The following is a 19,993-nucleotide window of genomic DNA, read 5'->3' as shown; positions in this document are numbered from 1 at the left end:
CCTTAGCTATGAAGCCATGAAAAGACATGGAGGACACATAAATGCATATTATTAAGTAAAAGAAGCCAATCTGAAAAGTCTACATACTACGTGATTCCAACTACATGACATTTTAGAAAAGACAAAAGTATGGTGACAGTAAATGACTCATCAATGACTAAGTGTCCTCCCTGTGGTAATGAGTTAACATTAGATCCAGTTGTTTAAAAAGAGCCTGGCACCTCCTCCCTCTCTTTCTTGCTCCCTCTCTCAACATGTCACCCACTGGCTTCTCCTTTGCCTTCTGCCATGATTGTAAGCTTCCTAATGCCTCACCAGAAGCAGATACTGACACTACACTTCTTGTATAGCCTACAGAATCATGAGCTAAATAAACCTCTCTTCTTTCCAAATTTCTTAGCCTCAGGTATTCTTTTATAGCAATGCAAAACAGACTAACACAGGAACTTTCTGTTCTTTCTGCTCATTTTTGCTGTGAACCTAAAGCTGCTTTAAAAAATAAAGTCATTCAAAATAAAAATAAATTTTAGTTTCTTTCTGAATAAAATGATTTAACTATAAAATACCTGACAATATAATAGAGGAGAAAAGCAACTGAATATTGAAAATACCTAAGATGGCAAGAATGGAGAAAGAGGTAAACAAAAAATAAATAATTTTTTAAAGTAGCAAGATGGTAGAATTAAACTCAACCATATCAAGTAAAAATGGACTAAACATTCCAGTTAAAAGGCAGTTTATTAGATTTGATAAATAAGCAATACCAAAAAATATAGCAAAGAAACACATTAAATATAAAGTTGTAAAATGTGCAAGAAGCTATACTATGCAAACATTAAGCATAAGAAAGTGTTTGTGACTGTGTTATATCAGACCAAGCAGACTTTGAGACAAGAAGTATTACTATAAAGTGGGATATTTGGTAATGATAAAATGGACAATTATTAAGAAGATATGACAATACTATGTATGTAATCACCTCATAACAGAACCTAAAAATGCATGAGTCAAAATTGTCAAAACTAAAGAAATCAACAAATACACAATTGTAGCTGGAAATTTTAATGCCCTTCTCTCACTACTTAAAGAAAGCAGAGACAAAAATCAACAAACACATAGATTTAAATAATACTACTGGACCTGTCATTTATAGAACATAATATCCAACAACTGCAGAATATCCATTCTGTTTAAGTCCACATGGAACATACACCAAGATACACCATGTGTCAAGCCAGAAAAAAAGTCTCAATGAATTTCCAATAATAAAAATGATAGAGTAATTCTCTGACCACACAAGTATGAAATTAGAAATGAATAACAATACAATACCCAGAAAATTCCCAAACATTAGGAAATTGAGCCACACATTTCTAACTAACACAAGGGCCAAAGATTACAGAACAAGAAAACATAAATTATCAGTTTCACAAATAAAAGAGGATATCACTATGATCTGATAGATATTAGAAGAATGATAATGGGTATTATAAACAACTTTATGCCAACAAAATCCAACAAGCAAGGCAAAAAACACAAGCTGCCAAAGCTCATTCAAGAGAAAGCAAATATCCTTAGTAAACCTATATCCATGAAAGAAATGGAATTTGTAATCAAAACCATTACCACAAAGAAAACTCGAGGTCCAGATGGCTTCACCAATGAATGCCATCAGACATTTAAGGAAGAAATAATGCCCATCTTAAACTGTTTTATAAAAGAGTTATTACTCTTTTACAGAAACACTTTCCAACTTGTTTTATGAAACAAGGCAGCATAACCTTCCTACTAGAAGTAAATACGGTGCAATAGAAGCACAGACAAGTATACCTCCTGAACAAATATTTTAAAACTCCGTAACAAAAATTAGCAAGCCAAATCCAGCAATTAAAACTATAACACATCACAAACAAGTGGAGTTTATCCTAGGAATATAAGATTGGTTTAACAGTTAAAAAAAATCACTGTAATTCATCACATTACAATAGTAAAGAAGAAAAGTCATAAAATCATTTCCACAGATAGAGAAAACAGAAATTTGATAAAAGACAATACCCATTCATGATTTTAAAAATAAAAACTCACAGGAAACAAGAAACAGAGGGTAACCTTGTCAATCTGATAAACAGCCAACATCATATTTTAATGGTGAAGTATTACAATATTTCCCTTATCCTTGGCAAAAGGGCAAGGATATGTACTATCTCCAACATTGTACTGGAAGTCCTAGCTAGAAAGAAAGACAAGACAAGAGAAAAGAAATAAGCAGCATGAAGACAGGAGAGGAAGAAGCTAAATGATGCTTAGTTACAAGTGGCATGATTGCATTCAAAGAAACTATGACATCTAAAAAATGACTACTCAACTAATAAGTGAAATTAGCCATGTGACAGGATATCAAGAAACAATAAGTATCTAAAAATAAACATGAGAAATATGGAAACTGATACAGTACAAAACACAAAACATAGCTGAGAAAAATGAAACCCTAGAGATACAAACCATTCTATGTTGATTGAAAGACTCAAAATTGATGACTTTTATTTTCTCCAAATTGATCTGCAGAGTTAATGCAATTCTTATCAATATCCCAGCAAGCTTTTATGCAAAAATTTATTTAAAGTAGCCTAAAACTGGAAGTTACCAAAATGCCTGTGGAAACAGGCACATGGAAAAACAAAGTTTGCTATAGCCATACAATTGAAAACTCATTAGTAAAGGGTATAAACTATGAATACACTGACCTTAACAGAAGAATTTCAAAAACATCATAAGAGAACAAATCCAAACACAAGAGGTTGCATAGTGTATACCATTTACATTAAATTCAAGAACTAGAAAAGCTAATCAGTGGTAGTTGAAATGAGAGCAAAGATTGCTTCTAGGTGTGAGAAGGAGCCACCCGGAAAGGGGCATGAAAACACCTTCTGAGGTGATAGAAATGATTTATGTCTTGTTTTGAATAATGTTTACACAAGTATATGAAATTGTCAAAACTCAGAGAAAAAAACACAAGATTCATGGATTATATTTAGGTTAGTTATACCTTAAATTATATTACATGTTATATCTCAAGAATGTTGATTTTAAAAGAATCAACCCGGCCGGGCGTGGTGGCTCATGCCTCTAATCCCAGCACTTCGGGAGGCCAAGGCGGACAGATCACCTGAAGTCGGGAGTTCGAGACCAGCCTGACCAACATAAAGAAACCCCGTCTCTACTAAAAATACAAAATTAGCCAGGCATGGTGGCACATCCCTGTAATCTCAGCTACGCGGGAGGCTGAGGCAGGAGAATCGCTTGAACCCGGGAGGCAGAGGTTGCAGTGAGCTAAGATCGCACCATTGCAATCCAGCCTGGGCAACAAGAGCAAAACTCCGTCTCAAAAATAAAATAAAATAAAAAAAGAATCAACCCATAGGCTCTCCCAATTCTTTTATTCAGAAATGTATTATCACTTCGTTCTGGTCTTACCTTTATTTTGAAGATAAGGCATAACTCACTGCTCTCAAAATTCTGTGTTAAACCCTGACCAAAATTATTACAAATCTGACCTAACCCAGAGAAGCAGTAATAACCATGATATGCAAGATAATTGTTTTTACATCTGTGTATGGGTGACTGAAATAAGGATCTAGCCTAATGCAAGGAGAATGGAGAAAATGCTTTTATCAAATGTCCATCATGTACATGCACACAATGTTTGAACACAAACATGGTTGTGATGCTGCAATTACACAATGTGGTACCCTGGTTCTTTGGTGACTCTCAAAGTTGTCCTTTTATAGTCTCCTCCCCTTGAATTTCACCTGGCCCAGTGACCTCTTTTGACCAACAGAATAAGGCAGAAGCCCTGGCAGCTTCTGCTTTTGTACTCTTGAAAGTCCTGAGCTGCTACATAAGAAGTCTGGTTACCCCATTGTTGACACCACATATAGAAGCCCTATGGAGACACCACGTGGAGAGGGAGAGGTCATTAGATTGCATGAAGAATTGAGGAACCCAGTCAAGAGTAAGACCAAAGACCCTAAATATATGACCTCAGCAGAATCACTCAAGCCAGCTCCTACCATTAGAGACTAGTTAGTGCAGGTACCAGACATGGAAGTGAGGAAACCATTTTGGACATTCTAATAGACATGATACGGGGCAGACATTAGTCATCTCTGCTCTTCCCTCTTTGAATTCCTGACTCACAGAATAGTGAGAAATAATAAAAACAGTTGTTGTTTTAAGCCAGTAAACTTTGGGGTACTCCATTATGCAGCACTAGATAGCTGAAAGACACCTAATGGGATAAGCTGCCAAGGGAAAGCTGGGGCCAGGAGAAGGGGGTAAGAGGCAATATGAGAATGAACAGAAAATCAAAGAACAAAGGAGATCAAGGCAGATACATATAATACTGAAGAAACAGGAGAATCCCAGAAACACAGAATTGTGCTTCAGACAATCCTTTCTACCTGTATGATGCCTTTAGCCTGCCGCAGCAAAGAGGTAAAATATCACTAGGTCAAAGGATGGTACTAGGGCAGAAATGCCTAAAAAGCTATTTCTGCCAGCTTGATTATGAAACCTAACCCATACTGACTTCTTTAAAAGTCATTTTTGGTGTACACTTCTGTATTGAGATTCTCCTTATGGTTTCCAGCTAAGCTATAAAATTGACATTGCCTTAAATAATCCCAAATGATTCTCTAGATGAGGAAGGTGTTCCTTAAAAAAATTATACATTAAAATAGTGCACTCTTATTATTTTTATATATCTGTAACATATTAAGCTACAGATTCATTTGCAAAATTTTGCAGATAGCTTCACTCTACATCTGCTAGGCCAGCTGCACCATCTGTATGTGGTGCTATTTTGAGATCCATACTTAAGCAGCAGATAAAGGATACATGAAGCTTGCAGTGGCTGAGCTGTCTGGACCTGGCTGCACTTTAGAAGGCAGAGTCTTACAGGACTGACTTACTAATAATGATGAAGTTAAAAGCACTACAGAGTAACAAAGTATCGGCTGCCTTTTATTTTTGATTTTGCAAATGCCCCCATTTCCTTATCTGCAAAATGGGAATTTTAATGGTACCTTCCTCATAAGATTGTTATGAGGATTAAATAAATGTCTAAATGCTTAATGTCTGGCATGAAGTAAAGCTTCAATAATAAGTTTATCTATTATATAATTTCCTATATATGTCATATTATTCATGCAACAAAAAATATTATATCATTTTATCTTAAATTTCAAGCAGAATTTGTTACCTTTGGTGTTATAATGATGCAAAGACACTAGCTAGCTTGTGACAAAGCTGCTTACATGTTTCAATTACTTTTTACAATCTGGTATAGCTTGAAAAGATAATCAACACCTATAAGTTTAAGGCTATACAGGATGTTTCACTTTTACCATCTCTGAGTCAGAAATTCTGTTGGATTAATAAACCTTGAACTGCTAAAAAACCATCATGAACTAAGATGGATACCAAGAACCATTATAGCTTTTATAAGCCTTTCAACTGAAAGTAACAGAAACCAACACTGGTTCTTTCAAGTAACAAGGGAATTTATCGGAAGGATGTTGAGAGCTCACATTATTGATGGGATGCTGGCAAACCAAACTTGGAATATGTGCCAACAAAGGCAGCGCTGAAGAGCAGAAATAGCTGCCCCTGCCACCATGAATCCTGCCGAACTCCTCCTATGGATACGTTAGTCACCAGAGATGCAAAGTTCTGGGTGGGAGTGTTTAATTAACTGAGCCCTGATCCCATGACCAACTCCTGGCTCCAGGAGAGGGAAGAGGAAAAGAAAAACATTTTAGCTACTATATGTAGGGGTAGTATCCTATCTTCCATGAAGATTATGCCAGTGGTGGACTATACCAAACAGGAGGGAATATTTGGAGGGTGGACAGCCACCCAAACACTGATTGTCCACTACACTTTTAAATTGTTAGACATATTAACATCAGACTGGTATCCACCTTATGACTAGTTGTCCAAAAAGTAAGTCTTACCAAGTGACTGTAGTTCAGTAATATTTGAGGGCAATCCTTACCTCATTTATCTTAGAAATCCAAATTGAGCCTCAAAAAGTCTGTACAGCACAATAATTTGAAACAATTTAGAGTATGCAGACAAATAGCAACAGTTTGTAAAATTTAAATAATTACATAGTAAATCATAATGGTTATTTGCACATTTTTCACACACACACACAAACACACACACAAACACACACACTAACCAGTCAGATTATTTTCTTTTTTTTATTTTTTATTTTGTTATTATTATACTTTAAGTTTTAGGGTACATGTGCACAATGTGCGAGTTAGTTACATATGTATACATGTGCCATGCTGGTGTGCTGCACCCATTAACTCATCATTTAGCATTAGGTATATCTCATAATGCTATCCCTTCCCCCTCCACCCACGCCACAACAGTCCCCAGAGTGTGATGTTCCCCTTCCTGTGTCCATGTGTTCTCATTGTTCAATTCCCACCTATGAGTGAGAATATGCGCTGTTTGGTTTTTTGTCCTTGCGATAGTATGCTGAGAATGATGATTTCCAATTTCATCCATGTCCCTACAAAGGACATGAACTCATCATTTTTTATGGCTGCATAGTATTCCATGGTGTATATGTGCCATATTTTCTTAATCCAGTCTATCATTGTTGGACATTTGGGTTGGTTCCAAGTCTTTGCTATTGTGAATAGTGCCACAATAAACATACGTGTGCATGTGTCTTTATAGCAGCATGATTTATAGTCCTTTGGGTATATACCCAGTAATGAGATGGCTGGGTCAAATGGTATTTCTAGTTCTAGATCCCTGAGGAATCGCCACACTGACTTCCACAATGCTTGAACTAGTTTACAGTCCCACCAACAGTGTAAAAGTGTTCCTACTTCTCCACATCCTCTCCAGCACCTGTTGTTTCCTGACTTTTTAATGATTGCCATTCTAACTGGTATGAGATGGTATCTCATTGTGGTTTTGATTTGCATTTCTCTGATGGCCAGTGATGGTGAGCATTTTTTCATGTGTTTTTTGGCTGCATAAATGTCTTCTTTTGAGAAGTGTCTGTTCATGTCCTTTGCCCACTTTTTGATGGGGTTGTTTTTTTCTTGTAAATTTGTTTGAGTTCATTGTAGATTCTGGATATTAGCCCTTTTTCAGATGAGTAGTTTGCGAAAATTTTCTCCCATTTTATAGGTTGCCTGTTCACTCTGATGGTAGTTTCTTTTGCAGTGAAGAAGCTCTTTAGTTTAATTAGATCCCATTTGTCAATTCTGGCTTTTGTTGCCATTGCTTTTGGTGTTTTAGACATGAAGTCCTTGCACATGCCTATGTCCTGAATGGTAATGCCTAGGTTTTCTTCTAGGGTTTTTCTGGTTTTAGGTCTAACGTTTAAGTCTTTAATCCATCTTGAATTAATTTTTGTGTAAGGTGTAAGGAAGGGATCCAGTTTCAGCTTTCTACATATGGCTAGCCAGTATTCCCAGCACCATTTATTAAATAGGGAATCCTTTCCCCATTGCTTGTTTTTCTCAGGTTTGTCAAAGATCAGATAGTTGTAGACATGCGGCGTTATTTCTGAGGGCTCTGTTCTGTTCCATTGATCTATATCTCTGTTTTGGTACCAGTACCATGCTGTTTTGGTTACTGTAGCCTTGTAGTATAGTTTGAAGTCAGGTAGGGTGATGCCTCCAGCTTTGTTCTTTTGGCTTAGGATTGACTTGGTGATGCGGGCTCTTTTTTGGTTCCATATGAACTTTAAAGTAGTTTTTTCCAATTCTGTGAAGAAAGTCATTGGTAGCTTGATGGGGATGGCATTGAATCTGTAAATTACCTTGGGCAGTATGGCCATTTTCACGATATTGATTCTTCCTACTCATGAGCATGGAATGTTCTTCCGTTTGTTTGTCTCCTCTTTTATTTCATTGAGCAGTGGTTTGTAGTTCTCCTTGAAGAGGTCCTTCACATCCCTTGTAAGTTGGATTCCTAGGTATTTTATTCTCTTTGAAGCAATTGTGAATGGGAGTTCACTCAAGATTTGGCTCTCTGTTTGTCTGTTGTTGGTGTATAAGAATGCTTGTGATTTTTGTACATTGATTTTGTATCCTGAGACTTTGCTGAAGTTGCCTATCAGCTTCAGGAGATTTTGGGCTGAGACAATGGGGTTTTCTAGATATACAATCTTGTTATCTGCAAACAGGGACAATTTGACTTCTTCTTTCCCTAATTGAATACCCTTTATTTCCTTCTCCTGCCTAGTTGCCCTGGCCAGAACTTCCAACACTGTGTTGAGTAGGAGTGGTGAGAGAGGGCATCCCTGTCTTGTGCCAGTTTTCAAAGGGAATGCTTCCAGTTTTTGCCCATTCAGTATGATATTGGCTGTGGGTTTGTCATAGATAGCTCTTATTATTTTGAGATACGTCCCATCAGTACCTAATTTATTGAGAGTTTTTAGTATGAAGGGTTGTTGAATTTTGTCAAAGGCCTTTTCTGCATCTATTGAGATAATCATGTGGTTTTTGTCTTTGGTTCTGTTTATATGCTGGATTGCATTTATTGATTTGCGTATATTGAACCAGCCTTGCATCCCAGGGATGAAGCCCACTTGATCATGGTATATAAGCTTTTTGATGTGCTGCTAGATTCAGTTTGCCAGTATTTCACTGAGGATTTTTGCATAGATGTTCATCAGGGATATTGGTCTAAAATTCTCTTTTTTTGTTGTGTCTCTGCCAGGCTTTGTTATCAGGATGATGCTGGCTTCATAAAATGAGTTAGGGAGGATTCCCTCTTTTTCTATTGATTGGAATAGTTTCAGAAGGAATGGTACCAGTTCCTCCTTGTACCTCTGGTAGAATTCGGCTGTGAATCCATCTGATCCTGGACTCTTTTTGGTTGGTAAGCTATTGATTATTGCCACAATTTCAGAGCTTGTTATTGGTCTACTCAGAGAGTCAACTTCTTCCTGGTTTAGTCTTGGGAGGGTGTATGTGTCGAGGAATTTATCCATTTCTTCTAGATTTTCTAGTTTATTTGCATAGAGGTGTTTTTAGTATTCTCTGATGGTAGTTTGTATTTCTGTGGGATCGGTGGTGATATCCCCTTTATCATTTTTTATTGCATCTATTTGATTCTTCTCTCTTTTCTTCTTTATTAGTCTTGCTAGCGGTCTATCAATTTTGTTGATCCTTTCAAAAAACCAGCTCCTGGATTCATTAATTTTTTGAAGGGTTTTTTGTGTCTCTATTTCCTTCAGTTCTGCTCTGATTTTAGTTATTTCTTGCCTTCTGCTAGCTTTTGAATGTGTTTGCTCTTGCTTTTCTAGTTCTTTTAATTGTGATGTTAGGGTGTCAATTTTGGATCTTTCCTACTTTCTCTTGTGGGCATTTAGTGCTATAAATTTCCCTCTACACACTGCTTTGAATGTGTCCCAGAGATTCTGGTATGCTGTGTCTTTGTTCTCGTTGGTTTCAAAGAACAACTTTATTTCTGCCTTCATTTCGTTATGTACCCAGTAGTCATTCAGGAGCAGGTTGTTCAGTTTCCATGTAGTTGAGCAGTTTTGAGTGAGTTCCTTAATCCTGAGTTCTAGTTTGATTGCACTGTGGTCTGAGAGACAGTTTGTTATAATTTCTGTTCTTTTACACTTGCTGAGGAGAGCTTTACTTCCAAATATGTGGTCAATTTTGGAATAGGTGTGGTGTGGTGCTGAAAAAAATGTATATTCTGTCGATTTGGGGTGGAGAGTTCTGTAGATGTCTATTAGGTCCGCTTGGTGCAGAGCTGAGTTCAATTCCTGGGTATCCTTGTTAACTTTCTGTCTCGTTGATCTGTCTAATGTTGACAGTGGGGTGTTAAAGTCTCCCTACTATTGTTTGGGAGTCTAAGTCTCTTTGTAGGTCACTCAGGACTTGCTTTATGAATCTTGGTGCTCCTGTATTGGGTGCATATATATTTAGGATAGTTAGCTCTTCTTGTTGAATTGATCCCTTTACCATTATGTAATGGCCTTGTCTCATTTGATCTTTGTTGGTTTAAAGTCTGTTTCATCAGAGACTAGGATTGCAACCCCTGCCTTTTGTTGTTTTCCATTTGCTTGGTAGATCTTCCTCCATCCTTTTATTTTGAGCCTATGTGTGTCTCTGCATGTGAGATGGGTTTCCTGAATACAGCACACTGATGAGTCTTGACTCTTTATCCAATTTGCCAGTCTGTGTCTTTTAATTCAGGCATTTAGTCCATTTACATTTGAAGTTAATATTGTTATGTGTGAATTTGATCCTGTCATTATGATGTTAGCTGGTTATTTTGCTCATTAGTTGATGCAGTTTCTTCCTAGCCTCGATGGTCTTTACAATTTGGCATGATTTTGCAATGGCTGGTACCGGTTGTTCCTTTCCATGTTTAGTGCTTCCTTCAGGAGCTGTTTTAGGGCAGGCCTGGTGGTGACAAAATCTCTCAGCATTTGCTTGTCTGTAAAGTATTTTATTTCTCCTTCACTTATGAAGCTTACTTTGGCTGGATATGAAATTCTGGGTTGAAAATTCTTTTCTTTAAGAATGTTGAATATTGGTCCCCACTCTCTTCTGGCTTGTAGAGTTTCTGCTGAGAGATCAGCTGTTAGTCTGATGGGCTTCCCTTTGTGGGTAACCCGACCTTTCTCTCTGGCTGCCCTTAACATTTTTTCCTTCATTTCAACTTTGGTGAATCTGACAATTATGTGTCTTGGAGTTGCTCTTCTCGAGGAGTATCTTTGTGGCGTTCTCTGTATCTCCTGAATCTGAACGTCGGCCTGCCTTGCTAGATTGGGGAAGTTCTCCTGGATAATATCCTGCAGAGTGTTTTCCAACTTGGTTCCATTCTCCGCATCACTTTCAGGTACACCAATCAGACGTAGATTTGGTCTTTTCACATAGTCCCATATTTCTTGGAGGCTTTGTTTCTTTTTATTCTTTTTTCTCTAAACTTCCCTTCTTGCTTCATTTCATTCATTTCATCTTCCATTGCTGATACCCTTTCTTCCAGTTGATCGCATCGGCTCCTGAGGCTTCTGCATTCTTCACGTAGTTCTCGAGCCTTGGCTTTCAGCTCCATCAGCTCCTTTAAGCACTTCTCTGTATTGGTTATTCTAGTTATACATTCGTCTAAATTTTTTTCAAAGTTTTTAACTTCTTTGCCTTTGGTTTGAATTTCCTCTTGTAGCTCGGAGTAGTTTGATCATCTGAAGTCTTCTTCTCTCAACTCATCAAAGTCATTCTCCGTCCAGCTTTGTTCCGTTGCTGGTGAGGAACTGCGTTCCTTTGGAGGAGGAGAGGCGCTCTGCTTTTTAGAGTTTCCAGTTTTTCTGCTCTGTTTTTTCCCCATCTTTGTGGTTTGATCTACTTTTGGTCTTTGATGATGGTGATGTACAGATGGGTTTTTGGTGTGGATGTCCTTTCTGTTTGTTAGTCTTCCTTCTAACAGACAGGACCCTCAGCTGCAGGTCTGTTGGAGTTTGCTAGAGGTCCACTCCAGACCCTGTTTGCCTGGGTGTCAGCAGCGGTGGCTGCAGAACAGCAGATTTTCGTGAACCGCGAATGCTGCTGTCTGATCGTTCCTCTGGAAGTTTTGTCTCAGAGGAGTACCCGGCCGTGTGAGGTGTCAGTCTGCCCTTACTGGGGGGTACCTCCCAGTTAGGCTGCTCAGGGGTCAGGTGTCAGGGACCCACATGAAGAGACAGTCTGCCCGTTCTCAGATCTCCAGCTGCGCGCTGGGAGAACCACTGCTCTCTTCAAAGCTGTCAGACAGGGACATTTAAGTCTGCAGAGGTTACTGCTGTCTTTTTGTTTGTCTGTGCCCTTCCCCCAGAGGTGGAGCCTACAGAGGCAGGCAGGCCTCCTTGAGCTGTGGTGGGCTCCACCCAGTTCAACTTTCCCGGCTGCTTTGTTAACCTAAGCAAGACTGGGCAATGTCGGGCGCCCCTCCCCCAGCCTCGCTGCCGCCTTGCAGTTTGATCTCAGACTGCTGTGCTAGCAATCAGGGAGACTCCGTGGCCATAGGACCCTCCGAGCCAGGTGCGGGATATAATCTCCTGCTGCGCCGTTTTTTAAGCCCATCGGAAAAGCACAGTAATAGGGTGGGAGTGACCCGATTTTCCAGGTGCCATCTGTCACCCCTTTCTTTGACTAGGAAAGGGAACTCCCTCACCCCTTGCACTTCCCAAGTGAGGCAATGCCTCACCCTGCTTCGGCTCGCGCATGGTGCGCTGCACCCACTGTCCTGCGCCTACTCTCTGACACTCCCTAGTGAGATGAACCCGGTACCTCAGATGGAAATGCAGAAATCACCCGTCTTCCGCGTCGCTCACACTGGGAGCTGTAGACCGGAGCTGTTACTATTTGGCCATCTTGGCTCCTCCCCCACTATTTTCTATTACAATAGCATTTTTAATGATCACCTGAGTAACTGTAGCTTTTTCCATCCGTATTACTTTCCTGTGGCTGTTGTAACAAATCATCACAAATTAGTGGCTTAAAGCACAAAAATTTATTCTCTTGAAGTTCTGGAGGGCTGAACTTTGAATCAAGTTGTGAACAGGGCCACATTCCTTCCTAAGACTCTAGGGGAGAATCTGTTTCTTGCTTCTTCCAGCTACTGACAGTATTAGGTATTCTTTGGCTTGTGGCTATATCACTCCAATCTCTGCCTCATGGTCACACCGCCTCCTCCTCATCTGTATGTCTTCTCCTCTGTGTGTTCATGTTATCTCCCTTTGTCTCTTTTAAGACTATTTGTGATGGTACTTAAGGCCTTCCCAGATAATCCAGAGTAATCCCCTTTCCTCAAGACCCTTAATTAGATCTGCAAAGACCCCTTTTCCAATAAGGTAACATTTACAAATTCTAGGGATTAGGACTTGATGTCTGGATGGCCATTACTGAACCTACTATACCATCATAATCTATTCCTGTATATTACTAAAGTACCCAGTAAAATAAGACTGGTTTAAAGAGAGATTAGTTTCAAGGAAATGATGAGCATTAATACTTTTAATTATTTTTGAAAACAGAATGGTAGCCAGGTATTTCCAGGGTTTTCCAAAGAAACAAAATGAATAGGCTGTGGGGGATGGCTGAGGGAAAGAGACTGATTGATAATAAGGAATTTGTTCACATGATTATGGAGTCTTAAGATCTGCTGTTGGCAAGCTGGAGACAGGAGAGCAATGGTGTAAGTTCCAGTCTGAAGGCCTGCAGCCTTAAGACCCAGGAAGAGCCAATGTTTCAGTTCAAGTTCAAGGCAGAAAAAAAACCAATGTCCCAGATCAAGGTAGTCAAGCAGGAGGAGCTCCCTCTTACTCACCTGGAGGATCAGCCTTTTTACTCTATGACTTTCAGCTGACTGGATGAGACCCATGAACATTAGGAAGGTCAGTCTGCTTTCTCAGTCTGTCCATTCAAATGTTCATCTTCCAAAAACACCCTCACAGACACACCCAGGATAACATTTGACCATGTATCTGGGCACCCTGTGGCCCAGTCAAGTTGACATATAAAATTAACAGTTACATCACGTCATGCCGAATTGCAGATAATTCATTCTTTCTAGGAGATCACAAATTTGATTCCAGCAGACACATTCGAATAAGGATTAAGGTTGCCTCAGGGAGGACATACTGCAGTCATTTATTTATCTAATATTCGTCAAGCATCCACCATAAGCATGTCATTGTTATGGGTGTGGAAAATGGTGCAATAAAAAAAGAAAAAGGAAATGCCAATGAAAATACCAAACATATTTGATGTTTTTACCTGTCCAAAAAAATATAAAATCCATATCAAATACTTAAAATTCAAAAAACTATATAAATTTTATGTAAGTAGAATAAAATATATACTACATGGATGAAATATAGAATCCTGGCTTTTTCAATATGAAGTATGCTATATAGGTGTTCCTTTACTAGAATACTACAAATTATTGAAAACTTAGGAGGCATAAAACATAGAAAGAGTATAATCAATGTTTCTCTTTTTTCAGTTATCTATATTTTACTTTCAAATATATGAAAAACTGAGTTAAAAATCCATCCATCCCAGACCCCAACTAAAGTTTATTCCTGTCTTATTTCCTATTGTGAATCAGTTTATAGCTTAATGATATATTAAAAATGCTTTACCTGCTGCCATGTTAGAAAAATTGAAGTACAATAAAAACGACGTGTAACAACTTTGTAGAAGCATGTCGTGTGCAGAAAATTATTTGCACTAACATATTTTCCCCTCAAGGGAAGCAACCTTCATATCCAAACCACTTACTACTTTTTAAAGAGAAGTTGTACTTTTCCATTTTCCCATAGTAACAACATCCAAATTTAAATGACAAAATCAAAAATAACTTTCTCACAACTGACCAGACTGAAATCATGATACAGTTACCTACTGATGGAAACCATATCAAAAATGTAAGGTACTTTATATAAACATAAATTGCTTCTGAGATAAAAAATTAACTAACATAATGATGTTTCTGTAATAGAAATTCAAAGTTAATTATTAACTTGCCTGAGTCTAGTTTCCCAGAGAGGGAGTTGGAATTTGCAAAGCTACATAGAAACTGACTATGCCTAGCACTTAAGGCAATCATTCTCAGTTAACCCCAAATCTTGGACTTCAGTGTCTTGGTCATGCCAGGAAAGAGGCAGGTGAATCCTACTACCAGATTGCTACATCACTTGGAACCAGGCCCCTGATTACAACAAGGGAGGAAAAAAAACAACCCCCATCCCTTCACACACACACCCTAATCACAAAGCCTGAGCTATTAGGATAGGGCCAGGATCCCCCTAGTCCCTGATCAACCAGCAGGATGCCAGTGCCTTCCTAGTCATGCAGGTTAGAAGGCCAACAATCTAAGTATTCTTTCTGAATAGAATACCAATCCCTGCTAAAATCTCTATGCATTTTCTAGAGGGGATGGACAATGGCATCCCCTGGATATTACTTGTCTTTGGTAGTTTTCTCCCAGTGAATGCTGTTCTAGCAGACTTGATCAATGTACTGCCTGACCATTTGAGCTTGCTTGTATAATAAAAGCATAATATTCCTACTCAAAAATGTATTTTCTCTTAAGCAATTTTAAAACTACATTTTTAAAAATATTAACTTGGGGTGGTCATATTCTTTTGATAAAGCTGGCAAATATTTCTTACTTATGAAATTTAAGAAAATGAAGGTTAGACAAGATCATCAGTATTGTAAAATGTGTTTATAAAGTAAAATATTTAGCATTGCTAGAGATTTGTAATAAGTGGTAGCTCTAACATGAATTTGGAAGTCTCAGGCTGACTTTCTCTACTGCACAGACTCACTAGTAAGTTGTATCAATAAATGTAGACAGGCCTAACCCATTGCCTTGTTTCCAAAAAAGGCCAAAAAGTAAAGGAATAGGAAAAGTAGAGTAGGCAATTGCAAAAAAAAGTAAAGCAAGGTTGTGAGCTTTATATCTGATAAAGTAGAATTCAGGACTCGAAGCAGTAAACAAGACAAATAAAGATACTTTATAGTATTATAACCATAATTAAGATATAATCATAATGAAGATATAATCATTTTGAATATCTACATACCAAATAACAGCAGCCACCTTCATAACGCAGAAACTACAGAAGATGCAAGAAGAAATGAACAGAAATATACTAAGAGATCACTATCAGTCCAAGACAAGTGAAAAAAGTATACATTAAGTATATAAAAGGCCTAAAAACAGAACTAATAATGTCAATATTATATATATCCAAAATATACCCTGATGCTAGAGAATCTTATCTTTCTGTCAAACAATGTGAAACATTCAAATAAATGTACTATATATCACAAAAATTCAAAAATAGAATACAACCAACATTCTTCAGTCACAATATAGTAAAACTAAAAGTTAGAAATTGTTTAAAACCAAAAATGTCATTTCACCCTGGAAATTAAAAAAAAAAATTATCCATTAAACAAACAGCTCAGATCAGAGTGAAAAAAAATTGCCAAATTTCTTTTTAAAAAATCATAATTAAAACATAATATATTAGAATGTATAGTATAAAATTAAGGCAGTGAATAGTGGAAAATTTAGAGTCTATATACTTATATCAATAAAAATTAAAGAATCAATGTACTAAATTCAATACTCATTTCAAAAGCTATAAAAATAGTAACAGCTGAAAGAGGAAATGCAATAAAGACAAGGTACAAATAATTATTTAGAAATGAAACAACAGACTAAATAATCTGACTCTTAAAACATTCATCAACAAAATAAATGGTCACTAGTTAACCAGTCAAAGTGGGGAGGGAAGAGATGACAGGAAGAACACAAATACACAAAACAGGAAATAAAGAGGGAAAAATGACTTTGACACAAATGCTATATTTTAAAAAATGAGAGACTGCTTAATACACATCTTCCCAAATAAATTTGAAAACCTAGATGAAACAGATATTTCCTCAGAAAATATCTATCAAATCTGACAAGATAGAAAGTAAAAATTGAAATGTAAAAACTTATCAAAAACTAACCTAACTAGCACCGGTCCTAGATGGTTTCAGAGGGGAATTCTACCAAATCTTCAAGAACCGAATACTCCCAATGCTATTTAAACACTTCCAAAAGAGGAAAAAACTTTCCATTAATTTTTATAAAGAAAACATAACATTGATTCCAAACCTGAATTATACTGCAAAGGACAGAAAATTTTAGACCTACCTCAGTTAAGAACACCAATGCAAAATTTTAATTAAAAAAAAATCCCATTTACAATACTAAAAAAAATACTTAGGAATAAATTTAACCAAAGAGGTGAGGCAACCTGTAAAGTGAAAACTATACAACACTGATAAAAGAAATTGAAGATGACACAAATAAACTAAAAGCTATCCCATGTTCATGAATTGGAAGAATATTGTTAAAATGTCCACACTACCCAGTGATCTACAGATTCAATGCAATGACATTTTTCACAGAAATAGAAAAAAAATCCTAAAATCCATATGGAACCACAAAGACTGTGAAAAGCCAATGCAATTTTGAGCAAAAAGAACAAAGTTGGAGACATAACATTACCAACTTCAAAATATACTACAAAGTTATATATAGTGATCAAAACAGCATGGTACCAGCATAAAAACAGACACATAGGCCAATGGAACAGAACAAAGAGCCCAGAAATAAATCCATACACTTATGGTTGGTTAATTTTAGACAAAAGTGTCAAGGACACACAATGGAGAAGGAACAATCTTTAATAAATGGTGCTGGGAAAACTGGATATCCACATGTACAGTATTAGATCCTCATCTCCCACCATACACAAAAATCAATTCAAAATGGATTGAAGACTTAAACATAAGACCTGAAACTGTAAAACTATTAGGAGAAAAACATAAGGGAAAAGCTCTTCATGGCATTCGTTTGGGCAATGATTTTTTTATATATGATTCCAAAAGCATAGGCAACAAAAGCAAAAACAAATAAGATTACATCAAACTAAAAAGCTTCTGCACAGCCATAGAATCAAGAGTTGAAGAGACAACCTATGAAATGGGAGAAAATATCTGCAAACCATATATCTAATAAATGGTTAATATCCAGAATATATAAAGAACTCAAATATCTCAATAGCAAGAAAACAAATAACTGGATTTTAAGTGGGCAAAAGACCTGAATAGATATTTCTTAAAAGACATACAAATGGCCAACAGGTACATGAAAAAATGGTCAACATCACTAGTCATCAGGGAAATGCAAATTACAATCACGATGAGATACCACCTCACACCTGTTAGAATGGATCGTATCAAAAAAAATAAAAGTGTTGGGAGGGGGATGTGGAGAAAACAGAATTTTTTTACACTGTTGAGGGAAGGTAAATTAGTATAGAAAACAGTGAGGGTTCCTCAAAAAATTAAAAATAGGGCTGGGCATGGTGGCTCACACCTGTAATCCCAGCATTTTGGGAGGCCAAGGTCAGGAGTTCAAGACCAGCCTGGCCAACATTTCAAAACCCCATCTCTACAAAAAATTAGCCAGGCATGGTGGTGGGTGCCTGTAATCCCAGCTACTTGGGAGGCTGAAGCAGGAGAATTGCTTGAACCCAGGAGGCGGAGGTTGCAGTGAGCTGAGATCATGCCACTGCACTCCAGCCTGGGCAACAGAGTGAGATTCTGTCTCCAAAAACAAAAAATTAAAAATATAACTACCATGATCCAGCAATCCCACTGCTGGGTATTTATCCAAATGAAATGAAATCAGTATGTCAGAGATATATGCATTCCCATGTTAATTGCGACATTATTCACAATAGCCAAGACATGGAATCAACCTAAGTGTTCAATGGATGAACAGATAAAGAAAATGTGGTATATATACATAATGCAATACCATCCTGCCTTTAAAAAGACAAAAATCCCGGTATTTGGAACAACATGAATCAACCTAAAGGACATCATGTTAAATGAAACCAGCCAAGCAAAGAAAGACAAATCCCAAATGATCTCACTTATATGTCGAATCTAAAAAAGTTGAACTCATAAGAAGTAGAGAGTAGAACGGTAGTTATCGGGGGCTGGGTGTGGGGAAGTGGGTGGAGGCAATTAGGGAGCTGTTGGTCAAAGAATACAAAATTTCAGTTAAACAGGACAAATAGGTTTATGAGATCTATCGTACAACATGGTGACTATAGTTCATAAGAATGTATTGTCATCTTGAAAATCACTAAGAATAGATAATAAATGTTCTTATCACAAAAAAAGTGAGTTAATGCACATTAGTTAGCTCAATTTGCCATTCTACATGTACACATGTATCAAAACATCATGTTGTATTCAATACAAATACCTAAGTTTTATGTGTCAATTCAATCCATTTTTTTTTAATTCCTGCCCTGACTTTGAGCTCACATTCTAGTAAGAGGCAGGCTATTAAAAATTAAGCTTAATAAGTAAATAAAATATATGTTAGAAAGTGATAAGTAATATGGGAGCAGGGTAAGAGGATCAGGAATTTTGAGGTAACAAGGAGATAGGTAAAGGCTTTCAAGACGTTTAACAGTGGCAGGAAAAGGAGAGATGCCATGACTCGAAGAATTAGAAAGGTTAAAAACCTAAAATACCTGTAGCTGAGGGGAAGAATATAGCACAGAGACTGGAAGGGAAAAAAAAATCCTGAAAAGAGGAAGAAATGGTATCAGAGGTACAATGTGAGGCTTGCTTGTGATAAGGAGTGAACTTACTTATTACTTGTGATAAGGAGTAAAAGGAATAAACTTTTTTTTTTCTTCACACAGGGCAGGGAATTTGGGGGTAGGAAAAAATGACATTGACAAGAGTTAGAGAAGGCCTCCTTGCAGCATGCTTAACTACCAAGAGCTAAGTTCATCTTTTTGGACATTAGATTTTTTTAAAATAGAGAATTCTTGGACATAATCACCAGTTTAGAAACTAAGTAGTGCTGTTTTATGTGTAATACTTATTTCTCCTTTTAATTGACAAAAGTCCAAATTCTGAAGCACACAGGCTCATTTTGTTAACTTTGCTTTTTTTCTTCCAGTGCTCAGAAGAGTAGGCAGTAGGGAAACTGATTATTTCCTTTAAAATAATTAAAGGCATCACCAACTGATATGCTATGAGCATTGTAGCTGGTCTTAACATCTAATAGGCATCTGATACCTTACAGTACATCTGATAGAGTTTGGATTTGCAACCAATTTGATATTCTGCATACTCATGTATAGATAGCTTTCAGCTTCCAAGTAACTCATAAATTAATATTTAATGAAATCATTTGCCTGGAGATTTTCTGTACTTTCCTATTAATCTCCTGGATTCTTTACATTTGGTGTGCCCTGCACACTCCAGTCAATGACAGTTATGAGGACTAGTTTCTCATATACATTTACATCTCATATGTACCTGAACAATAGCAGGTTTATTTCCCTCTTATTATC

The sequence above is a fragment of the Homo sapiens genome, chromosome 6 (genome assembly GCF_000001405.40).
Source record: "Homo sapiens chromosome 6, GRCh38.p14 Primary Assembly".
NCBI classification, from domain to species: domain Eukaryota; kingdom Metazoa; phylum Chordata; class Mammalia; order Primates; family Hominidae; genus Homo; species Homo sapiens.
The sequence above is the reverse complement of the archived record's forward strand: the minus strand, read 5'-3'. Positions refer to the sequence as shown.